Source organism: Homo sapiens, chromosome 5 (assembly GCF_000001405.40).
Source record: "Homo sapiens chromosome 5, GRCh38.p14 Primary Assembly".
Lineage (NCBI taxonomy): Eukaryota > Metazoa > Chordata > Mammalia > Primates > Hominidae > Homo > Homo sapiens.
The window spans coordinates 28725160-28743021 of NC_000005.10; the positions used below are offsets into that span (position 1 = coordinate 28725160).

Genomic DNA, 17862 nt, shown 5'->3' on the forward strand with positions numbered 1-17862 from the left:
TGACTAATTCTTACTAATCTGATATAAGCAAAAATTGTTCAGTAAGTTTCCTGGTATGTTTGTACTGCTACAACAAGATACCTGAGACTGGGTAATTTACAAAGAACAGAAATTTAATTCTCACGGTATTGGGAAGGTCAACATTGAGGAGCCAGTATCTTGTGAGGGCCTTCTTGTTGTATGCTCCAGAGGGGAGGAACACCGTGTCCTTACATGATAGATTACAGTCTAATAAGTAAAAATAGAAAAAAATATATATACATATAGGACAAAGAACATGATTACATGAAAGCATATAATTAAGAGAACGATCATGTTCAGTCTAGTTGGGAGGACGTTTCTGAGCTAGGTTGATGTGTCTATAAGCTATCCACATAAAGATAACATAGTAACTATTGCATGCTTGAATCTGGAGTTCAGAGGAGACAGCTAGTTTAGAGATACAACTTTGGAGGTCATCAGCATATTGATGATATTAAAAACCATGAAACTAGATAGAATCACCTACGAAGTTTGTATACAGACTTTTAAAAATAAATAAATAAAAAAGAGTTGAACCCAGTGCAACATTAACAGTCAGGCCAAAAGGACAATTCAGTGAAGAACACTGAAAATTAGTGGTGAAAGAAGAGAAAAACAAAAGAGGTGTCTGGCATGAAAACCAAGTAAGGTGAGGGTTTCGCGAGGAAGAATGTGTGATCATCTCTTTCAAATGTTCCTGATGATGACTGAAATGAAGCCTGGGAAATGGCCACCGGACTTAGCAATGTGGAGGGCCATAAGGTCATTGACAGAGCAGTTGCAGAGAAACGGAGAGAGAGACAAAATCCCTTCACTGAAATAGGTTCAGGAGAGAAAGGGAGAAAGGAAATTGAGCCCTTCACAAATAGACAACTCTTTCAAGGAATTTTACCATGAGAGGTTTTGTGTAATAAGCAGTATCTAGAAATGGCATTGAGGTTTGTTTGATTGTTTAAAAGTAGAAAAATAAAATTACCTGCCATGCTAATAACAACTGTGAAAGGGACAAAACAACAACAACAAAAAACAACAACAAAACCCAATATATTTGCCATGTGCAAGCTGAATGAATGAGGCTTATTGTGCACATGAAAGGAATGGCTTTTATTTGAATATAGATGATTGACAGTGGATGTGTTATAATATAGATACTTGGATTAAAGCGAGAGATATCAAGGATGATGCATTACTGATCTATGTAACAAGACAAAGTGATGTCTTTGTTCTTATTGTGTCCTTGTTGTATCCTCCAAAGGGGAGGAACACCAAGTCCTTACATGATAGAAAAGAAGAAAAGCTAGCGAACAGCTGTTTGAACCCTTTTCAATGGAAGTTTTAATCCCATTAATGGGGGAACAGCTATCATGATCAAATCACCTCTTAAAAGGCATCACTCCTAATACCATCACATTGACTACACCTGAGTTTTAGAGGCGACACATTCAAACCATAGCAATGGGACTTCTAGAAATACTCTTTAAGGAAACATGCTGTTTACCCCCACTTTTCATGGTTCTTCCTTCCTGCTTCTTCAAATGTAGTGGTAATGATACATGTTCCAACAGTTATGTAAGGCCTTGGAACAACTTTGAAACTAAAAGCCATTTGCTGAGGTAGGCAGGGTAGAATAACAGTTGAAACAAATATTCTTAATGACTTTGTGGAGCCATCCTACCTGCCCTGGATTGCCAAACTTGGGAATTATTTCAGGTAAGAACTAAAGTTTCATATTATTCATTCCAATTGATGTAGACATTTCTAAAATCATATAAATGAATAAGTGACAGGTATCTGTTACGATGACTAATATTGAATGTCAACTTGATTGCGTTGAAGGAGGCAAAGTATAGTTCCAGGGTGTGTCTGTGAGGGTGTTGCCAAAGGAGATTAACATCTGAGTCAGTGGACTGGGAGAGGCAGACCCACCCTTAATCTAGGTGTACACTATCAAATCAGCTGTCAGTGTGGCTAAGATAAAGCAGGCAGAAGAACCTGGAAGGACTAGATTGGCTGAGTCTTCCAGCCTTCATCTTTCTCCTGTACTGGATCCTTCCTGCCCTCAAATATTAGACTGCAACTTCTTCTTTGGACTCTTGATCTTACGCCAGTGGCTTACCATGGGTTCTCAGGCCTTCAGCCACAGACTGAAGGCTGCATTGTCAGTTTCCCTACTTTTGAGGTTCTGGACTCTAACTGGCTTCCTTGCTCCTCAGGGTGCAGGCGGCATATTGTAGGACTTCACCTTGTGATCGCGTGAGTCAATAATCCTTAGTAAATTCCCCTTCATATATACATCTATCCTATTAGTCCTGTCCCTCTAGAGAACCCTAACTAATATATCTGTTATAAGGTAAAGAGTTGATACAAATGAATATTTTAGAGGATTAAGAATATTTACCAGTTTTTCTTTTTGTTTTTACGTTTATTTTAGCTCATCACATGTGGAATTACATCATTTGTGTAGAAGAACTTAAGAAAATAAGGTAGACAATTTTCTGTTTCCCAGAGAATGGTCTTTATGTTTGTATTCTAAATCTTACTTTAGCACTTTTTGATAAGGATGGAGAAATTACTATAAAAAACAAATGAACATCATAACATTTCAAATATTCATTTATTACACTTAAATTCCATGGTTAGCATACTCCTGATTTGCTCATTTTATCTTTATATGCAGACATCATCGTTTCCTTACTTTTATTTTGATTCCTTATTCCTCAACTTCTAGTCTGAGAAGACAGCATAATTGTCACCATGATGAGCTACTGCAAACATTCATTTGTGTTATTTTAACAAAACTCTCAATGATCAAACAAGGGTACTCCCCTACTGTGTCTTCACATAAACAATCCAGATAACAGTGTGAGTGAAAACATCAAATTCTATACCAGATGGAAAAAACATAAATTACTTGAATAGAAAAAAGAGCATTGAAAATTAATACACAAAAAGCAGAAAAAAATTTACTTTCCAATTAGTATTTGAATGACAAAACTTACTTTTTGATTATTGAATATATAACTTCCTGTAGATAACAAGAAACACAATATTCTATGCATTTGTTGCTATTATGAGCATGAAAAATCAATCTAAATTTAGTACTACTGTCTCATTTGTGATCCTAAAAATGGTGTAATAAGTTCAGATAGTCAAGAAAATAATAAACAGGTATATTTACTTTCATATATAAACATGTATCCATAAAGTGTAAGGCATCAATATTAATGTATTAAACGTAAAGTTTATTTTAAGTCCAGTCAAATTTTAGAGTAGTGGACAGTTAAGTTTGGGTAATAGGTGTCAAATGTGTTTTGCGAAGAGTGTTTCGAGAAGAAAAAACATGACATGAAGTCTTCTCTACTCATCTTTCATTCAACACATATTGTTTTAGTTTCTACAATTTACCAAATGATATTTCAGGTCCTGGGGAATGAATCAGTGAACAAGACACCACCTTGTTCTTAAGCCACTTGTAGAACAGTTATTGCCTATGGTAATCAAAGCTAAGACTGAACACAAGACCGAAGTGATGACAACACCATACCTCATGGGACGCTACAGCTGAGAGAGCAGCCACAGAAAATGAGATGTGAAGGAGATAAAAATTCAAACACAGACATAGAGGGATTAGTAAATACCAGGAGGTAGATCAGGGAATTCAAGTGATTCTTACAGGAATGGAGAACATAGTGATTGCACTGAATTTATCAGAATTTCAAAAGTTAAGACAACATGAGATGACATCTGTTCACAATTAAAGTTAGTTTACTAGTTTACCCAAATAGCTTTAAAGGTAATAATGTAACATCGATACACTTTTGTATAGAACAAGTTATTGATCTTTTGTATTAGAAACAATATCAAATTTTTTTTCAGGAAGGTACAACTGTGACTCTAAGGTTTCTTTCAATAGGTTCTACAAATGACGTATTTACTAATTTTTATATACATTTTATGATACATTTCTCATAATTCCATGTGACTTTAAGTACTTGCAAAGGAAGTTAAAATTTTAAGTGCCCAGAAACATGAGAACAGAACTCAATAATGTGGACTTTAAAATTACTACTACAAATAATTAACCAATATTGATTTAATGCTTACAGTATGCCAAGTTCTAAGTGAAGTGCTCTCTAAATTATCAGCTCATTCTCTTCTCACTACACTCTTATGTAGTCATTATCATAATTGCCCTCACTTATAGATAAAATAGGCTTAAAGAAATTAAGTAAACTATCTACATTTATAATACTGCAACATGAGAGACCTGAGTTCTAAGACAGGTGCCGGTCTGTCACCACTATCACTATACTCGATTTTTTTCCCCATTCTATAGGATTAAGATAGGCATAAGGGGGAGAATATTCCAGGGAGATTCATTTTTGGGATAATGGAAAATATGCATCAGTGAACCAAAACATTATAAAATTAATAATTTAATATTTATTTCATCTCTGTAAATAAATATTTCTGCATTTCACAACATGACAGAATCAACTTTTGCTGAAAATAGTAAGATTTGGATGAGTGAAACTTTAATATTCATAGCATATATAAAATATACTTTTTAGTCACCCACTGTGGTATCAAAATTTTAAACTTATTGTATATTTCAAAATAGTTAGAAAAGAAGATTTGAAATGTTCCCAACACAAAGAAATGATAAATGTTTGAGGTGGTGTATAGTCTAGTTAGCCTGATTTGATTATTATACATTGTATGCATGTATTAAAATATCACATGTACCCCATAAATGCGTACAATTATTTTGTATCAATAAACTTTTAAAAACAGGCTTTCCGAGGCCTTAGGAGAATACTACAAAGACATAGGATATTATTCCCAGAGACTACTGATACTGTAGCCAAAGAAACCGAGAGCCAACAATAATAGAAGTAATGCAAGTGTTATTCCAGAAATCCTAACATTCTGTTAAAAATAAAACACCTGACCATTTGTATATCTTTTTTTTGACAATTGTCTATTTATGTCCTTAGCCCAATTCTGATGGAATTGTTTGTTTTTTACTTGCTGATTTGTTTGAATTTCTTGCAGATTCTGGTTATTAGTTCCTCGTCAGATATATAGATTGAAAAGATTTTCTCCCACTCTGTGGGTTGTTGGTTAACTCTGTTGATTATTTATTTTGCTGTGCAGAAGCTCTTGAGTTTAAGTAAGTCCCATCTATTTATCTTTGTTTTTGTTGCATTTGCTTTTGGGTTATTGGTCATGAAGTCTTTGCTTAAGCCAATGTCTAGATGTTTATCTTCTAGAATTTTTATGGTTTCAGATCTTATATTTAAGTCCTCGATCAATCTTGAGTTGATTTTTGCATAAGGTAAGAGATCCAATTTCATTCTTCTACATGTGGGTTGACAATTATCCCAGCACCATTTGTTGAATAGGGTGTCCTTTCCCCACTTTTTGTTTTTGTTTGCTTTGTCAAAGATCAGTAAGTATTTGGGTGTATTTCTGGGTTCTGTATTCTGTTCCTCAGTACCATGCTGTTTTGGTGACTATGGCCTTATAGTACAGTTTGAATGTAAACTAGTACAACCACTATGGAAAACAGTGTGGAGATTCCTTAAAGAACTAAAAATAGAACTACCATTTGACCCAGCAATCCCACTACTGGGTATCTACCCAGAGGAAAAGTAGTCATTATGCAAAAAAGATACTTGCACATGCATGTTTATAGCAGCACAATTCACAATTGCACAAATATGGAACCAGTCCAAATACCCATTAATCAATGAGTGGGTAAAGAAATGGTGGTATAGGTATATACCATGGAATACTCTTATCCACAAAATGGAATACAATAATGACATTCGCAGCAACCTGGATGAAATTGAAGACCATTATTCTAAGTGAAGTAACTCAGGAATGGAAAACCGAACATCATACGCTCTCACTTATAAGTGAGAACTAAGCTATGAGGATGCAAAGGAGTAAAAATGATACAATGGACTTTTGGGGTCTCAGGGGAATACATGGGAAGGGGATAAGGCATAAAAGACTGCGTATTGAGTATAGTGTACACTGCTTGGGTGATGGATACACTAAAATCTCAGAAATCACCACTAAATAACTTATTCATGTAACCAAACACCACCTCTTCCCCCAAACCTATTGAAATTAAAAACATAAAATAAAACACCTGAAATAAAGTTTTAGATATGACCTGCAATTTAAATCGTATAAAAGTAGGTGTTCTGAATGCGTGTATTAACTTGTAACTGAGCTACCTCTTGTATTGTCAGCACTTGATAATATGTTCCAGAGTGAATAGCATCTTTGTTTTTTGTTTTTTTTTTAATTGTTAATTAAAAAATGGTTCATGGTTTCCCTTCCCAACTAGGTGATAGGATGGTTGTTCCATTTGTTTAAATATAAAATAATTTAAAAATAGTTGGTAAATATTATCATTGAGAGTTAATCTCTGTTTCAACAAAAAATAGAATTTTACATTATATTTATCATACTTATTTTTCTGTTCAAAAGCAACAAATAAGTCACAAAAATAATATAACAATAAGGAAAAATAATTACATCAATCATAAGAACAACATCTAATGAAAATCCTTACAAGCTGTTGGTGTCTTCTACAATGTATTTGCATGCATATATATTTATATTTATATAAATGTATTTATCTTTGAGTCTAAAATGAATTTTATATTCACTTTGTGTTTTAGGCTAAAATGGGGTTGGTTATTCTTGTATGGTTAGAAGAATTGGCTTAAAGGAAAAGTTAAGCTGTATTTTAGCTTCAGTTTTTCCAAGTATCTTTAGTATTTCTCAAGTATATTTCTGAGTAGTGGCTTAAAAGTTACACATTATATCAGCATAAGTGGAAAGTTCAGTGAATGCTCCTTTTAAAGATTTGAATTAATGTTTTCATCCATTTTGTTAGCCATACAATTTTTTCAGTCTTTCTCAGTGAACAAAATATGTGTGAATTTTGTGTGACACTATCAGAAACCATTTAACACCAAGGCTTCTTAAGATACTTGCACAGTAGCAAGTTCTCACAAGATATAAAATCTGAGATTGGTGTTAATTGCTCACATTCCAGTAATCTCCATGTCATGACCCTAATGTTAATATTTTAAAAGCGTATAAAAATTCTGTGCAGCGTTGAGGCAGATAGGGCATTGTGTTTTTCATAAGCTGCAAAACTGTTTTGATAAAGATGATAAATATCTGTATATACATTTATATCAATAAAGTATTTTAATGGTATTATTTTGCTGGCAAGAAACTGCAGTTTGAAGAATTACATGGCAAAACAATTGTAAAACTGTTGAGTTATATTAAATAATTATTTATATCACAAATATTCAATTGACACTTAAACATCCCTGCAAAAGTCTAATTTTAGGTTCTGGGTGTTTTGGGGTTTTATTTTTTCCCAGCTTTATTCGGATATAAATTAAAAAATGAAAATTATGTGTATTGAAGGTATACAACTTGATTATTTGATATATAGATACATTGTAAAATGATTATCACAATCAAGCTAATTAATATATTCATAACCTAGCAGTAACCTGCATGTTTGTGTATTTGTGCATGTGATGAGAACACTTAAGATCTACTCTCTAAGTAAATTTGAAGTAAACAATATGGTATTATTAGCTATAGTCACCATGATGTACATTACATTCCCAGAGCGTATCCATCTTTTAAATGAAAGTTTGTGTGCTTTGACCAACATCTCCCCATCCCCACTCCCCAATACCCTTGCAACCACCTTTCTAACCTCTGGTACTATGAGTTCAACTTTTTTAGATTTCACATATGAGTGAGATCACATGATATTTGTCTTTTTGTACCTGGCTTATTTCACTTAACATAATGTCCTCTTGGTTCATCCCTGTTGTCACAAATGGCAGGAATTTTATATGGCCAAATAAAAATACATTTTATTATATGTATATGTATATGTATAAACACAATATCCATACACATATATCACAAAATAAAGACTTAAATATAAGATCAGAAACTTTAAATCTCTTATAATAAAACATAAGGGAAAAGTTCCTTGGCATTGGTTTTAGCAATGATTTTTTTTCTTTAATATGATCTCAAAAGCACCAGAAACAAAGGCAGAAAGAAGCTTATAGGACAAAAATAAACTTATAGGACTACATCAAACTGAAAAGCTTTTGCACAGGAAATAAAATAATCAACAAAATGAAAAAGGTAATTTAGAGAATGGGAGAAAATATTTGCAAACCATATATCTGATAAGGTGTTAAATCCAAAATATACAAGAAACTCATACAACTCAATAGCAAAATCCAAATGACCCGACTAAAACATGGGCAAAGGACCTGAACAGACATTTTTCCAAAGAGCTTTCCTTAGGTACTGTGTGCTAATTTTTTCATATGCTTTCACTCATCTATGTTTTCTCTTCCTCTGTCTTTGTCCCTAAAAGATCCCATAATAAAAATTTAGTTGGTGGAGAACACACAAGTATTGTTAGCTATGGAACACATATCTTTATTTTTGATAAAAAGAAAGTACTGCTGTATTTGTACTTCCAAAGCCACACTTTGTTCAAAGCTTTATGTAAAACACTTTTATTTACCTGATCTTTTAAAGTATCCGATCTTTGTCTTTATAATTGTGCTGCTTAAGTCCCAGCCTCTTTTTCTGTTCAAGATATGAGGCTATTTCTTTCATTTTTTACAATTACTTACAGTTACCATTTCACTGATTTTAAACTTTTTTTTCTATATTCACCAAATGAAGTGTTTCCTGTTAAATATTTTTCAAATTTGAGAAACGGTGACTCACTTGGAAAATAAATTTTACTGAACGTGTTTTTCAACTTGGTAGAAAGTGCTGCCTTGACTGTGAGTAGTTATCAAAAATACCCTTTAAAATTAAATGACTTTTTGTCCTTAGTCACATTTGAATACCTGGAAAAACAACTATTGTTCTTTGAAATATCTGTATTTTTTAACTTAAAAAGCTTACTTGAAACATTTATTTGCATAAAAATAAAGGAGTATATTTATAAGTAACTACAGCTGTTATTTGATGAACTTAAAGGAAGCTAAAATTTGCTTCCTTATAGTACACCTAAAAGTTAGAGAGCCATGCACAGCAAGAGGGTTGGTAAGACATAATGTCATTTTTCATTTGGGTTATTCAAATTCATGTTTTGGTTTCTCTAAATAAAAACTTGAATCATTGCTTGACATAGCTTGGATGTGTATCCCTGTGCAAATCTCATGTTGAAATGTAATCCCCAATGTTGAGGGCGGTGGAGCCTGGTGGAAGCCGATTGGATCATGGGAAAGAATTTCTTATGAATGATACACTACCATAACCTTAGTGCTGCCCTCCAGGTAGTGAGTGAATTCTTAGGAAATCTGGTTGCTTAAAAGTGTGTAGCACCTCCTGCTGTCCTGCAATGACTCAAACAATGACTCAATTTCCTTTACATTCATCAAATAAGAGTGGTAGTTACTAATAAATGTGCTCTTTTACTCTTTTTTTTCTCTCTGTTGCTTCTGATTCTACCACAGGACGTGCTTGCTCCCCCTTCATCTTCCACTATGATCATCAGCTTCCTGAGGCCTCCCTGGAAGCTGAGCAGATGTTGGCACCATGCTTCCTGTAAAGCCTGCAGAACTGCAAGCCAAGTAAACTTCTTTTATAAATTACCCAGTCTCGGGTATTCCTTTATAGAAATAAATAAATGCAAAATGCAATCCTATAAATGCAAAAACGGCCTAATACTTGCTCTTAAAAACAAGAGCTATAGCTTTACTAGATTGTTAATTCAATTTTCTTTCACCCCGATGCCCTGCTTCATTTTCCCATGAAGATGGAGTTGAAACTTTAGTATTATTTTGGCTTCTTTCAAACTACCTTAAGAAGACTAAAAATTCCTAATAATTTAAAGGATACCACATTGACAACAGACAAGCCAATTGCAATGGAGTGTGAAGGAAGGAGACACCCTAGTGTTAAAAAATGAGAAAAGGGAAATAGTTGATTGTTGGGAAAGAGAGGATTTCTTTTTCTTTCTATTCTTGGTTCTAGCGAAGAGCCCTAGTCCTGGTACATTCATTTACTACAATTTTTACATTTGAGAGCTTACTAAAAATATCTCAGCCTTATTTTTCTCATATGAATAATAAAGAAGATATTTCCAAAATATGTCCACCTAATACAATTTTCAAAAGAATAAAACCAGTCCCATTCATGAAAGTGATTACATAATTAAGAAATTCAGCTTATAATTATTATAGATTTTTTCTATAGTACTGTGAGTAGTTTCTACCCTCACTATCCAGAGAAGATGTCTATACAATTATCTGAAATACCACAGAGACATTAAAGTTGGTTAATTAAGAAGTCACATGCATTTCTTTAATACTGTTTTATTAGCTCTTATTTACCACACAGCACTTCTTAAAATAAAGGAGTTTTCTTCCCTACCTTCGGAGAATTCATTAAAAAAGACTTTATTCATTTTTTGACCTTGTATATTTAGTGATTATTACATTACCTAGCATAAAATAGGCCTGGATGCTTTTTTTGTTATGAACAAAAAAAACATGGTTTTTCTCTAAATAAGGGGTAAGCAGATTTCTCATATGTCAAAATGGAAAGTGAATAAAACCATAGATGATAGAAATCAGATTATATCTCAGGTTGAATATTTCAGTGGCCAAACTTATGTGAGTATGCAAAAAAACACAGACTCATAAAAAGAATCTACTACAACCAAAATCCCAATTTTTTTCAATAGAAAAACAAGGTTCCAAAAAAATGTGTTTCCAAATAAATTATCCAGTAACAACTGTGGAATTTTTATTTGACAAAACATATTTTATGTTTGATAAATGTAAAATGAAGCTACTAATCCAAGGCATTTAAACATTTATCAATAACAAAAGAATCAACATACATGGCACCAAAATGTAGTAAAATGAAAAACATTTTATGCAGAAGCATAATGTGCATATATATGAAAATGTGTAGTATAGGTAACTGTACTCATTAATATCAAGTTTAAGTTCATCTAAGGTCCCTCAAGTATCATCTAGGTAAAAGGCATTCAAGTCATAAGATATATTTAGGTGATGATCAACAAATCCATTATGGTGGTCAATAGTAAGGTGAGGACAGATGCTGGAGGTGAAAATGGGTATTTAAAAAACCAACAGAAAAATGGGTATATTTATAAGCAATTGACTATTGGAAGATAGTAGAAGTTGTAAGAATTATTTAGAATATTATGTGAGTGACTGGGGAGCTATCTATGCTACTCATAGATAGCTACTCATAGTATCTATGCTGCTCAAAAAGGGAAATAGGCAAGGACAACACAGAGCAGAAAACCTGCAGAAACTTCAATTAATCAGTTTTAGACCTATTTAAATAAATGTGTGGAAATGGCAGTGAATATCCTTCTGCAATGCAATTAGGCAATTATAAATTTGTATCTGTTCAGGAATGATATAAATCCTGGATTTTATTGTCATTGGCATAATGGTGAGTGTTTCTAGAACACATAGACTGAGCAAAAGAATAGAAAATAACCTAGCAAGAGTTTTGGAAATCACAAATAGGAATGTGACACATAAAGTCCATATAGAGAGAACAATCAACATCATAGCAGTAAAAAAATCAAAGAATCTGCAATACTTTGCAGCATCACAGAAACATAGGCAGACAGAATTTTAAGGTTGACCAGAGAGCAAAATGTACCACTCTTAAATTAGATGTAGAGGCTACAGAAAATGTTTCGTTTGGCCATAAGAAAAAAAAAAGTAGTGAATTATGAAATGAAATGGGGAGTGAAGAAGCAGCAGCAGAAGTTTTGAAGTTCGTTTTTCTTTTATTTTTTGTAAGTTTGCTAGGGAGGTTGAGGCCATTATTGACTAAAAATCGGAGAGGAGAAGACTTTTACCAAAAGAATGACTAAACATGATGGCGAGTGAAATAAACAAGTGGAAAATGAAAAATTGAAGATACAAGAGAAAGTGATAGGCAGGAACATATGTGATCAAATGCTAAAGTGGTAATTACTAAATATAGTAATTTGGTACTGGAAAGAAGAGAAGAGTACAAATTAACTAGACTGGCAACATCCCTAGAGCTGTGCTTTATTGAAAATTGCATTAGCTTTGTAACCTTTGGCAAATTATTTAATGTCTTGGGATCTATTTCCTTATCTGTGAGATGTGGGTAATAAACACACATGACTCATCTACAGAGCACTGTGTAAAAATATTTTAAAAAATGGTTCTCCATCAGTTGAAAAATATTATAGAGATGATCAATGTTATTATTTCCCTGAAACAGGACTTTGGAAACAGAAAATAAGGCTAGCAGCAAAAGTATTCCATCATTTTTACTATGTAATGATTTACTGTGCCTAGGTTACTTAATAGGTTAAATTTGCATAGAAAACTTACTGCTTTTTCATTATTACTTGCCCAGTTTACTGATAGCATACTCTATAATATCCCATTAAAATAATTATCAGTTGAGATATTTAATTTAAATTATACCTATGGATGCACTCTTGCCAACCCTAAAGCAAATTTCCCATGAATGTACCCAAAGTTATGAGTTAAAGGACTCTCTTAATTGGCCTTATACATTCATATGATACGACCAGTATGTGTGTAGCAATAAAAGCTGCAATAGCCCTTAGGACACCCCGCCATGACAAGCAGCCTTGGTAAGCAATAAAGATTCAAGGATAACATTATGAATCAGATTTCAAAGTATATGCACACAATGAGAAAGCAAAGCATAGAACATATTTTTATTTGTACATGTAAAAATAGTTCCTGATAATAAAAATGTCACCATATGATATTGCAGGGAATACTTCAACTCACTGCTCCTAGAGGGATTCACAACACTCTAACTAGAGGTTTTCATTCTCTGTGGATTTCAAAATGCAAATTGATTTGATTTTCCTGGTTTAGAGAAACATAATATGTTCCTGCTGTCCCATGAGATTCTTCAGATTTCCTTGACTGAAGGCAAAGTACTTATTAATACTTACGCGTAAGTGCCTCCAGGGTCATACTAAAAGCACAAAAGCTCGCTGAGATCCATTGAATAATTTTTAGAATCACCTGGAATTTTAAATTTTCAAGATTAAATACTATAAAATATATTTTATTTTTGAAACCAACCAAAATTACCATTATGTTTTAATTCCTATTTTTCAATTGTTCATAAAAACAAGAATCTAAAATTGCATCATAAATCCTTACTTCAAAGTACTTGCACTAAAATTATACCCACTATTGAAGGTAATATTTGGAATACCATATTTAAAATACAGAAGGAAATATTTTGTAGATGTAGGAAGACAATGAAAACCAACCCTTTATCACAATCAAACTGAAAAGCTTTCAGTCAGAATAATACTATCTAACAAACGTATGTGGTACACAGACTACATGTCATGAACCAGACAGGGCTGCTGCAATAAGTAACATAAAAAAAAAAAAGAAAACACTTTTTCCCCTTTTGGAAGGGAATTTTGGAAGGGAATACTACAAGGAAGTTTGATAAGTTCTGCAATGTTCATAAGTAACAGTTGCTGTAGAAATAAATGCAGTGTCTGAAGATAGCTGAACAGGGGAGGATTTAGGTATGGGCATATGTGCGAAAGACTTCTGTGGAGGAAATACTTTTGACTTACTAGATATTTTGTCAGGGCTTTGCCAGGGGACATATGCAAAGAAACGTAGGTGAGAGAGAATGTAGCATGATGAGGAAAGTACAGGTAGTGAAAAAAGGCTTGCCTAAAGATGGAGATAGCAGGAATGACAGGTGAATAAAAAACATGAACTCCTTCTGTAACATACTACGAAGTTAGAGATTTTTTTTCACTGTATAGTGGAAGCCATTTTAATATTTAAGTGTAATTTCAAAGCAGTCTCCTAGAGAGATTTTTCTGACACCAGTGCGGCTAAAAGCAGAGACAGGGAAGCCAAATCACGGAGAGGAAAACATCTCTCGAGAAGCACGGAGATGAGAGGACTCAGTCATAAATGCGTACAGTGGAAAAGTGGTTTTCCTTTGTGATTCATCTCATGTGACAGAAAAAGAACAGAGAAATGTATGTGCACACTCCAATTTCAGACTTGTGTAACTGGGTGGCTGCTGTGAAAAAGCACAAATGTAGAAATACAGGCAGCAGATGACCTTATGGGATAAGATGGACTATAATATAGAGATTGGCTTAAGATATATTGAAATAAGGAATTGTCACATAGTTAAAGATTTAAATCTCCATCCAGTCCTTGAATAGCCCCAAATTTCAAGCATTTTAAGTATTTTCAAAGTTAAGCAGGCTCGTAGAAATTTAGGATGTTCAGTTAGGAGTTTAGGGTAGAATCGATTTCCACTGTTGTTTGAATGATGCTGGTTAAATCGTATAACCTTAATACTATAAAGACAGGAACTCGCAATTGTTGCAGGGTCTTATGAACTGCACTCTGACACAACTGAAGACAAATCTAGTTGCATCTTTACCTGAAAAATAAGAAGAGAGACCCACTGAGACAGCCAGCTAGTTGTCTCCTTCTGGCCACGTCTTCTATAATAACATACATTTTAGTAGAGTGTGTGACCATCTAGGCAAAACAAAAGTTCCCAGGTTCCCACACAGATGTGCACGACCTTATAAACGGAATAAGAGCAGAAATGATATATTTACTTTCCAGGTCACACCGAATAGAATGTGCACTTCCAAGTGGGAGGCAAAGAGGCAATTTGAAACACAAGATCTAAGCCACAATTTGATGATAAAAAGCAAACGCCTAGACAGTCTTGGTCCTCAACAACATGGAGGGGCCAATCACAAACTGCTGATTTGCAGACTGTGAATATGAATGAAATATACTTCAAATTGGTTAAGACATTTTCAGTTTCTCTTGCTATCCCAACACATGCATAGGAAATGCTCTGAGGTCAGTTTAAATATGTGCAGAAGATACTGCCTAATTATTATCCACTTAGAAATTGAAGACAACTATGGCAAGCATGTTGAGTTAGCTTTTCACAAACAAGCACTTAACTTCTATGCCTTTGACGAGAATAAATGAAGCTCAGATGTTCAGCAAAACAGTTTGGGCATGGGCACAAGCCAAATAAAGTTCCCGTTATCTGAACTAAGATTAAGACAGTGTGCTGAAAGACAATGTAATTGCAGTCATATCTTATATTTAATCCTTATTATTTACTTGTGCTGTTGGTTTCATGATAAGCTAAACCTAGGCTGTCCGAGAATGAAAAATAATAATCAATATTAAATCAAAAATTGATAACTCATCAGACACTTTATATTTCAAAATAGGAGGTAATCTTTATGTGTAAAAATAAAAATTAAACATGGTTATGCCATACCCAGTGAATATTTTTATTTTTATTATTTTTAAAAATTTTGTGGATGCCTAGTGGGTGTATATATTTATGTGTATTTATCAAAGTATACATGAGATACTTTGATACAGGCATGTAATGTGAAATAAACACATCATGGAGAATGGGGTATCCATCACCTCCAGCATTTATCCTTTGAGTTAAAATGAATCCAATTACATTGAGTTATTTTAAAATATGCAATTATTATTGACTATAATCACCGTATTGTGCTATCAAATAGTAAGTTTATTCATTCTCTCTATTTTTGGACCCATTAATGATCCCCATCTCTCCACAATCCCTCACTATCCTTTCCAGCCTCTAGTAACCATCCTTCTGCTCTCTATGTCCATGAGTTCAATTGTTTCGATTCTTAGATTGCACAAATAAGTGAGAACACGCAATGTTTGTCCATCTGTGCCTGGCTTATTTCACTTCACATAATGATCTCCAGCTCCACCCATGTGGTTGCCAATGACAGGATTTCATTCTTTTTTATGGATAAATAGTAGTCCATTGTGTATACGTACAAAATCTCTTGACAAAAGATTAATAACCAGAATATATAAGGAGCTCAACAACTCCATAGGAAAAAAAATCTAATAATCCAATAAAAAATGGGCAAAATATTTGAATAGATATTTCTCAAGAGAAGATATACGAACGGCAAACAGGGATATAAAAAGATGCTCAACATCATTAATCATCAGAAATGCAAATTAAAACTACAATGGGATATCATCTTACCCCAGTTAAAATGGCTTACATTCAAAAGACAGGCAATAACAAATGCTGACAAGGATGTGGAGAAAAGGGAACCCTCGTACACTGTTGGTGGGAATGTAAATTAGTCCAACTACTGTGGAGAACAGTTTGGAGCTTCCTCAGAAAACGAAAAATTGAGCTACCATATGATCCAGCAATCTCACTGCTGGGTATATACCCAAAAGAAAGGAAATCCAGTCTATCAAAGAGATATCTGCACTCCTATGTTTGTTGAAGCACTATTCATACTAGCTAAGATTTGGAAGCAACCTAAGTGTCCATCAACAAAGGAACAGATAAAAAAATTCAGTGAAAAAAATTTTCTAATTTTATTACTTACAACATTTATAATAACTAAGATACTCAAGCCTTATAGAAGTTAAAAGCTAAAATTTACAAAAATTTCCTCATTTTCACCTTAAAAAGATTTGAGGCAATGTAGTATTATTTTAAATATGAGAAAACTGAGTTCGAAAAAGTTTAATTTAATATATAATCCTATCATCACTGTGCTATTCTTCTTCACATTTACCATATCTAAGGTATGTTGATCATTTACTACATACCAGTAACTATGTGTTCTTTTCATATTTCACCTTATCGAATATTCATTGTTTTACAGGTGGAAAGGAACATTTCAGTGGGGCCTGTGGTTACCAGTTTCATTTGCTATGAAATCCTTACTGTTTGAAATAAAACTTTGTGCATTTAACCACTATTCTACATAATGAATATAGTTGTTCGTAAATAAAATTTTAACAAATGGAAAAGATGCACTTAAAAATAATATTTGATTGGCCAGGCATGGTGGCTCACGCCTGTAATCCCAGCACTTTGGAAGGCCGAGGTGGGTGGATCACCTGAGGTCAGGAGTTTGAGACCAGCCTGGCCAATATGGTGAAACCCCGTCTCTACTAAAAATACAAACTTTAGCTGGGCGTGATAGCAGGCACCTGTAATCGCAGCTACTCGAGAGGCTAAGGTAGGAGAATCACTTGAACCCGGGAGGTGAAGGTTGCTGTGAGCCAAGATCATGCCACTGCACTCCAGCCTGGGTGACAGAGCGGAACTCTGTCTCAAAATGACAATAATAATAATATTTGATCAAGCATGTTTTACAGTATCATATCTGCAGTTATTAGCTATTAAGTATTAATTAGTAAAATGATCAGGGGAAGTCTAATTCATTATGGAAAATCAAGGATGGATAATTAGAGAGTGCTGTGGGATATCCAATAATAAGACAGTTCTTTGAGTGCCTGTACAAAACTCAGGTATTCATAGAGGTTGAGAGAGCCAAACTTATTCCCTTAACTTCTAAATAATCTCCCTCTGCAGCCCTAAATGCTAAATAAAAGTTCCAATTTAATCTCTTAATACGAAGTCATGGTAATTCCTGTAATTGAAATAGTATCTGGAGAATATGATACTTTACAAGAATTTTAGACATTAAAACTTTTCTCAAAATAATTTGAGTAATTATTTTTTTGCCTAGAAGAATCCTGAACAAACTAACACAGTAATGAGATTCGTATGTTGTCAGATGATAAAAAGGAAGGTTCTAGACATGTCTAGTGTCATTTTTCAAAATCATCTTATGCTCCAGTTTGTCTGATGCATATGGCATCCCAAAGTAGTATATGATTC

At 33.7% G+C, this 17862-nt stretch overlaps 1 annotated feature.

Moving 5' to 3' along the window:
- Window positions 1308-2507: an enhancer, noted in NCBI's record as "MED14-independent group 3 enhancer chr5:28726574-28727773 (GRCh37/hg19 assembly coordinates)". NCBI's record gives its function as "activates an origin of replication core promoter dependent on BRD2, BRD4, P300/CBP and CDK7 cofactors, and independent of MED14, by STARR-seq in HCT116 cells {active_cell/tissue: HCT116}" and the evidence as "EXISTENCE:reporter gene assay evidence [ECO:0000049][PMID:35650434]".